This window comes from Homo sapiens, chromosome 18, assembly GCF_000001405.40.
Source record: "Homo sapiens chromosome 18, GRCh38.p14 Primary Assembly".
NCBI classification, from domain to species: Eukaryota; Metazoa; Chordata; class Mammalia; order Primates; family Hominidae; genus Homo; species Homo sapiens.
The window spans coordinates 21,886,346-21,895,374 of record NC_000018.10 but is presented as its reverse complement, the minus strand read 5'-3'; positions in this window follow the sequence as shown (position 1 = coordinate 21,895,374).

Below are 9,029 nucleotides of genomic sequence, written 5' to 3'. Positions count from 1 at the left end.
GCCAAGGCAAGTGGATCACCTGAGGTCAGGAGTTTGAGACCAGCCTGGCCAACATGATGAAACCCCATCTCTACTAAAAATACAAAAAATTAGCTGGGAGTGGTGGCTGGCACCTATAATCCAAGCTACTCAGGAGGCTGCAGCAGGAGAATTGCTTGAAGCTGGGAGGCAGAGTTTGCAGTGAGCTGGAGTGCCCGCTGCACTCCAGCCTGGGCAACAAGAGCAAAACTCTGTTTCAAAAAAAAAAAAAAATCAATAAAGTTGTAAGCAGTCCTGAATTTGAATTGCAAAGTTCAGTTTGAACTCACTTATTTTTTTTCTTTAAAATATTCTTAGCCAACTGGGTTTGGTGGTTTACACCAATAATCCCAATATTTTGAAAGGCCAAAGAAGGAGGATTGCTTGAGGACAGGGGTTTGAGACCAGCCTTGGCAACACAGCAAGATCCCAACTCTACAAAAAATAAAAAATTAGTCAGGCATGGTGGCACGCACCTGTAGTCCTAGCCACTTGGAAGGCTAAGGCAGAAGGAGCCAAGTACTTGAGCCAAGTAGTTCAAGGCTACGGTGAACTATGATTGCATCACTGCACTCCAGCTTGAGCAACAGCGTAAGACTCTGTCTCTTTAAAAAAATCAAACAAACAGAAAACATTCTTAGCTCTTTCCACTGAAAAGAAAAAGTCTAAGAAATAATGACCAGCCCAGTAGCACTGACGCCCCTGATACCCACATTGTGATCTCTAAATGTCATTTCCTTAAACAGAATCAGGACTTCTTGGAGCAATGTTTTATTTCAGGTCAGGCATTTCAGAAACAAGAAAGCCATCAAAGATTAACAGATTTGTGTCAATAGGACTGCTGAATGAGTGTCTGCTAGCCAAAGATGGGCAATGTGAGCATCAGTGAAGACAAGAACTGAAATACATTGAAACATCTAAAACATGTTTAAATCCTTAGATTTGTACTGTTATTTTTAAAAAACATATTGGTCATCTTTGGAAGATGCTAAGGACCAACTCATTAATCAATAAAATAAGAAATGGCTGGGCACGGTGTAATCCCAGCATTTTTGGAGGCTGTGGTGGGTGGATCACTTGAGGTCAGGAGTTCAAGACCAGCCTGGCCAACACGGTGAAACACTGTCTCTACCAAAAATACAAAAATTAGCCAGACCTGGTGGTGCACGCTTGTAATCCCAGCTACTCGGGAGGCCGAAGCAGGAGAATCACTTGAACCCGGGAGGCGGAGGTTGCAGTGAGCCAGGATCACAGCCACTGCACTCCAGCCTGGGTGACACAGCGAAACTCTTGTCTCAAAAAAATAAATAAATACGTAAGAAATAACCAGTCCCTGCCTTCGTTTAGCAGGGGTAAGGAGTGAATATACCACACAGAAACAAAGCTCCGTGTCTGCTGTGAAGGCTTTGGAGGAGACAGACCATGACCAGACACAGGCCCTGTTTCTGATGCTGAGAAGAGAGGAACTAAATAAATCCTGGTTAACAAGTGCATCAGGTGAAGATGGGACTTGGAGCCCCAAGCCAAACTTTAAATTTTCTCAATAGGAGCCTTGACAGGGACAGACTCAGCACGATACTTGTGAAGGTCATTAATATTCTTTTTCTTTTTTTAAGTTGAAGTACCATTCACATATTATAAAATTCACCACTCTAAAGTGTGCAATTCAGTGGGGTTTAGTAAACTCACAGAGTTGTCCAATCAATGTCACTATTTAATTCCAGAACATTTTCCTCAATTCAAAAAGAAACCCTGTACCCACTAGCAGCCACTCCCGTTAACCTCTCCCCCAAGCCACCAGCAATTACTGAAACCTATTTTCTGTCTCTATGGAATAGGTGTGTCTATTCTGGATTTTTTTTTTTTTTTGAGACAGAGTCTCGCTGTGTTGCCCAGGCTGGAGTGCAGTGGCGCGCTCTCAGCTCACTATAACCTCCGCCTCCCAGGTTCAAGTGATTCTTGTGCCTCAGCCTCCCAAGTAGCTGCAATCACAGGCATGCGCCGCCACACCAGGCTAATTTTTGTATTTTTAGTGGAAACGGGGTTTTACCATGTTGGCCAGGCCGGTCTCGAAATCCTGACCTCATCCTCGGCCTCCCAAAGTGCTGGGATTACACCCGTGAGCAACTGTGCCTGGCCTGCACACTTTCATATAAATGAAATCATACAATATGTGGCCTTTTGTGTCTGGCAATTTCTCAAAAGGTTAAACAAATGGTGAATATGACCCAACAATTCCACTTCTAGTTATATACCTAAAATAATTGGAAACTGTAGTATAATTGGAAATATACTTGGTCTTTATTCCCCATTCCTGGCACAGAGCTCCTAAAAACCCTTGAAATTTCCTATGTGATCAGACTGCTTTTTGTTTTTCATAATGAGCCCCTTTTGACTGCACCTAAATTTATGTTATTGAGGTGGTTTACGGTGGGCCCCTAGATAGCCTCAGGATGGGGCTTGTCACCAGGAAGATCAAGTGATGGGAGGGTTGGACCTTTCAGCCCTAATCACTAACCTTTGAGAAGTGAGGCAGGGATGGAGATTAAGCTCTATAAAAACTCTTGAACTAAGAGATTCAACAAGCTTCCAGGTTGATGGATGCATCTAGGTGCTGGGAGGGTGGCACACCTCAATTCCACATGGACAGAAACTCCACTCAGGACCCTTCCTGGCCTTGCCTTATGTGCCTCTTTATCCGGCTGTTTCTCTATATCCTTTATAATAAACCAGTAAAATGTAAGTAAAGTGTTTCCCTGAGTTCTGTAAGCCATTCTAACAAGTTATTAAACCCAAGGAGAAGATTTGGAACTTGCAGTTCACTAACTGCTGCCCGTTGGTCAGCAATATGGGAGGCCAAGACTTATAGTTAGTATCTGAAGTGGAGGAAGTCTTGTGGCATGTAGCTCTTTTTTTTTTTTTTGAGTCGGAGTCTCGCTCTGTTGCCCAGGCCAGAGTACAATGGCGTGATCTCAGCTCACTGCAACCTCCATCTTCCAGGTTCAAGCAATTCTCCTGCCTCAGCCTCCCAAGGAGCTGGGATTACAGGCTCCTACTACCATGTCCTGCTAATTTTTGTATTCTTGGTAGAGACGGGGTTTCACCATGTTGGCCAGGCTGGTCTCGAACTCCTGACCTCATGATCGGCCTGCCTCAATAGAATCTGACACTAACTCTAGGAAGATAATGCCAGAATTGAATTGAATTGTAGGACATCCATTCGATGTCAGAGAACTGGTGGTTGTGAGAAAACCTGCACATCTGGTGTCAGAGGTGTTGCCTGTGACAGTATAGAGAAACAGTATTTTCCAGAGAAACATATATTGACAGAAACACTTTTTCACAAATATTGCTAACATGCTAGCAGTATTATTCATAATAGCCAAAAAGTGGAAACAACAATCCAATTTCTATTGACTAATGAATTGATAAACAAAATGTAGTATATCCATGCAATGGAGATCTGTTTTCATTCAATTGTTAATTTATTAATTTCTCCTTAATTTTTGAAGGATAGTTTTGCCATATACAGAATTCTTGGTTGGCAGGTTTTTTCCTTCAGTACTTTGACTATGTCATTGTACTGCCTTACTCCATGGTTTCTGATGAAGAATTAGCTGTTAATCTTATGAAGACTCCCTTGCAGATGATGAGTAGCTTCTCTGTTCCTGCTTTCAAGATTCTCTTTCTTTAGCTTTTGACAGTTTATGATGTGCCTAATTGTGCATCTCTACTGCTTGAATTTATCCTACCTGGGTTTATTCTACTTGAATTTCATCATGTTTATTGCATGCATAGATTAATTTTTTTATTAATTTTGGGAAGTATGGGGCATTATTTCTTCAAAATGTTTTTCTTTTTTCTTCTTCTAGGACATTTTGCTGTAATTCATTCATTTAAATTGCTGCATAGTATTCCCTTTCATGAGCTTACCATCATTTAATGGTATTTAATTGCTGAGGGACATTTGAGTTTTTTAAAACTTTTGGTTGTAATAACACTGCTCTAACATTCTTGTACATGCATCCTGCTACACGTGTATACACATTTCTGTTAGATACTTATCTAAGAATGAAATTTCTTTATTTCAGGGTATTCATGTCTTCAACTTTAATATATAATGCCAAACTCTTTCCCAAAATGTTTGTATTCAGAGGAAGATTTACAAAATTACCATGACATTAATGAATATAAAGCTTGCATGGCTTCTGTGAATAGTTAGAGTGCTGGCAGAATGCACTAGTGAGGGATGGGTCACCAAGTAGCAATTAGAAAGCATTTCTGGCCAATTGCCTAAAGAGATTTCAAGAGAAAGAACCTGAATCTCCAAGGCTTCTGTAATTATTTTGTGGTTAGTTTTCTCGTTTAGATATTCATTTTTGTATTAAATTTTATTCATAATTTACAGTTTTTAAAGATGGCTCTCAAAATTGTATGTTTCAGACTCCTCAAAACTTGGACTACTCCTGTTTATACCAGAGTGACTTCTAAATACATTTTTCCAATCCAGACATCTCCCTTGACATCAGGATCTTAAATACAACTTCTACTTGGGTCATTTGCATATTAAGAATCTCAAACCAAATGTAGCTAAAATATAATTCATTATTTTTCCTCTTAATCCTGTTTCAGTCACTCTCCAAACATGTTCCTCTCCCACCACTCACCATTTTGGTTAAGTGACACCATTGTTTACCCAGTTACTCTAGTCATTGTTGATTCCTCCTTATACCCTCTACATCTAATTCAATGACAAGTCATATCTGCTCCACTTATTATACAAAACATATCCTGAATGCATTTACTTCTTTCCAACTCCACTGCTATCACCATCATCCAAGCTGATGTAATTTCTTTTTTCTGAGATGCCGTCTTGCTCTTGTCACCCAGGCTGGAGTGCAATGGCGCGATCTCAGCTCACTGCAACCTCCTCCAGGGTTCAAGTGATTCTTCTTCAGCCTCCCAGCTAGCTGGGATTACAGGCGCCCACCACCATGCCCAGCTAACTTTTGTATTTTTAGTAGAGACAAGGTTTCACCATGTTGGCCAGGCTGGTCTCAAACTCCTGATCTCAAGTGACCCACCCGCCTCAGCCTCCCAAAGTGCTGGGATTACAGGCATGAGCACCGTGCCCGGTCAAGCTGCTGTAATTTCTTACTTGGAATGATTCAATAGTCTTCCATTTGATCTTCCAGTTTCCATTTTTCTCAAGTACAATTCATTCTCAACACAGCAACCAACATGATTTCTTTTTAGTTTTTTGTTTGTTTGTTTGTTTGTTTGTTTGTTTGTTTTTTAAGAGATGGGGGCTCACTGTGTCACCCAGGCTAGGGTACAGTGATGCAATTATTGCTCACTGCACCCTCAAACTCCTGAGCTCAATGTATCCTCCTGCCTCAGCCTCCCAAGTAGCTAGAACTGCAGGCATAGGCCACCATGCCCAGATAATTTTTTAAATTTTTTTCTGTAGCAGCAAGGCCTTGCCATGTTTCCCAGGTTTGTCTTGAACTCCTGGCCTCAAACAATCCGTCTGCCTCAGCTTTTCAAAGTGCTGGGAGTACAGGCATGAGCCATCACCACTGGCCCCAACATGATCTTTTAAAATATTAGATTACATCAGTCCCTTGCTTAAAAGCTTCCAGCAGTTTTCTTTTGCATTTAAAATACAATTATAATCCCTTTTCCTTCCCAGAAGGAAAATGATCTCAGATGGAAATGTGAAAATGCAAAAATCATGACAAACACCAGGAAGGTAAATATGTGACTAAATATAAATGAGTATTAACTGAACAAAACAATGAAAATAATATCAGGCTGGGTGTGGTGGCTCACGCCTGTAATCCCAGCACTTTGGGAGGCCGAGGCGGGTGGATAATGAGGTCAGGAGATCGAGACCATCCTGGCTAACATGGTGAAACCCCATCTCTACTAAAAATACAAAAAATTAGCCAGGCATGGTGGTGGGTGCCTGTAGTTTCAGCTACTTGGGAGGCTGAGGCAGGAGAATGGCATGAACCTGGGAGGCAGAGCTTGCAGTGAGCCGAGATCACACCACTGCACTCCAGCCTGGGTGACACAGCGAGACTCCATCTCAAAAAAAAAAAAAAAAGAAGAAAGTAATATCATATGGTATTTAAATTACATGTGCAACTAAAATGTGTAACAATAACAATGTAAAAGGTTAGAGGAGGGTAAAGTGAAATTTTACATTTCTAAGTTTATAGCTATTTTAGAAAAGTGAAGTCATAATTCATATTAGACTTTAAAAGTAGTTTCAGGGGTGGAGCCAAGATGGCCAAATAGGAACAGCTCCACTCTACAGCTACCAGCGTGAGCAATGCAGAAGATGGGTGATTTCTGCATTTCCAACTGAGGTACCGGGTTCATCTCACTGGCGAGTGCCGGACAGTGGGTGCAGCACACCATGTGTGAGCCGAAGCAGGGCGAGGCATTGCCTCACCCAGGAAGAGCAAGGGGTCAGGGAATTCCCTTTCCTAGTCAAAGAAAGGGGTGGGAGACATCACCTGGAAAATCGGGTCACTCCCACCCTAATACTGCGCTTTTCCAACGGGCTTAACAAATGGCCCACCAGGAGATTATATCCCGCACATGGCTCAGAGGGTCCTACGCCCACGAAGCCTCGCTCATTGCTAGCACAGCAGTCTGAGATCAAACTGCAAGGCGGCAGCAAGGCTGGGGGAGGGGTGCCCACCATTGCCGAGGCCTGAGTAGGTAAACTAAGCAGCTGGGAAGCTCGAACTGGGTGGAGCCCACCACAGCTCAAGGAGGCCTGCCTGCCTCTGTAGACTCCACCTCTGGGGCCAGGGAACAGACAAACAAAAGGCAGCAGTAACCTCTGCAGACTTAAATGTCCCTGTCTGACAGCTTTGAAGAGAGTAGTGGTTCTCCCAGCACGCAGCTTGAGATCTGAGAACGGGCAGACTGCCTCTTCAAGTGGGTCCCTGACCCCCGAGTAGCCTAACTGGGAGGCACCCCCAAGTAGAGGCGGACTGACACCTCACATGGCCGGGTACTCCTCTGAGACAAAACTTCCAGAGGAACGATCAGGCAGCAGCATTTGCGGTTCACAAATACCTGCTGTTCTGCAGCCACCACTGCTGATACCCAGGAAAACAGGGTCTGGAGTGGACCTCCAGCAAACTCCAACAGACCTGCAGCTGAGGGTCCTGACTGTTAGAAGGAAAACTAACAAACAGAAAAGACATCCACACCAAAAACCCATCTGTACGTCACCATCATCAAAGACCAAAGGTAGATAAAACAACAAAGATGGGGAAAAAACAGAGCAGAAAAACCGGAAACTCTAAAAATCAGAGCGCCTCTCCTCCTCCAAAGGAACGCAGCTCCTCACCAGCAATGGAACAAAGCTGGACGGAGAATGAATTTGATGAGTTAAGAGAAGAAGGCTTCAGAAGATCAAACTACTCCGAGCTAAAGGAGGAAGTTCGAACCAATGGCAAAGAAGTTAAAAACCTTGAAAAAAAATTAGATGAATGGCTAACTAGAATAAGCAATTCAGAGAAGTCCTTAAAGGACCTGATGGAGCTGAAAACCATGGCACGAGAACTATGTGATGAATGCACAAGCCTCAGTAGCCAATGTGACGAACTGGAAGAAAGGGTATCAGTGATGGAAGACAAAACGAATGAAATGAAGTGAGAAGAGAAGTTTAGAAAAAAAAGAATAAAAAGAAATGAACAAAGCCTCCAAGAAATATGGGACTATGTGAAAAGACCAAATCTACGTCTGATTGGTGTACCTGAAAGTGACGGGGAGAATGGAGCCAAGTTGGAAAACACTCTGCCCGTTATTATCCAGGAGAACTTCCCCAATCTAGCAAGGCAGACCAACATTCAAATTCAGGAAATACAGAGAACGCCACAAAGATACTCCTTGAGAAGAGCAACTCCAAGACACATAATTGTCAGATTCACCAAAGTTGAAATGAAGGAAAAAATGTTAAGCGTAGCCAGAGAGAAAGGTCGGGTTACCCACAAAAGGAAGCCCATCAGACTAACAGCTGATCTCTTGGCAGAAACTCTACAAGTCAGAAGAGAGTGGGGGCCAATATTCAACATTCTTAAAGAAAAGAAGTTTCAACCCAGAATTTCATATCCAGCCAAACTAAACTTCATAAGTGAAGGAGAAATAAAATACTTTACAGACAAGCAAATGCTGAGAGATTTTGTCACCACCAGGCCTGCCCTAAAAGAGCTCCTGAAGGAAGCACTAAACATGGAAAGGAACAACCAGTACCAGCCACTGCAAAAACATGCCAAATTGTAAAGACCATCAAGGCTAGGAAGAAATTGCATCAACTAACGAGCAAAATAACCAGCTAACATCATAATGACAGGATCAAATTCACACATACCAATATTAACCTTAAATGTAAATAGGCTAAATGCTCCAATTAAAAACACAGAGTGGCAAATTGGATAAAGAGTCAAGACCCATCAGTGTGCTGTATTCAGGAAACCCATTTCATGTGCAGAGACACACATAGGCTCAAAATAAAGGGATGGAGGAAGATCTACCAAGCAAATGGAAAACAAAAAAAGGCAGGGGTTGCAATCCTAGTCTCAGATAAAACAGACTTTAAACCAACAAAGATTAAAAGGGACAAAGAAGACCATTACATAATGGTAAAGGGATCAATTCAACAAGAAGAGCTAACTATCCTAAATATATATGCACCCAATACAGGAGCACCCAGATTCATAAAACAAGTCCTTAGTGACCTACGAAGAGACTTAGACTCCCACACAATAATAATGGGAGACTTTAACACCCCACCGTCAACATTAGACAGATCAACAAGACAGAAAGTTAACAAGGATATCCAGGAATTGAACTCAGCTCTGCACCAAGCGGACCTAATAGACATCTACAGAACTCTCCACCCCAAATCAACAGAATATACATTCTTTTCAGCACCACACCACATCTATTCCAAAATTGACCACATAGTTGGAAGTGAAGCACTCCTC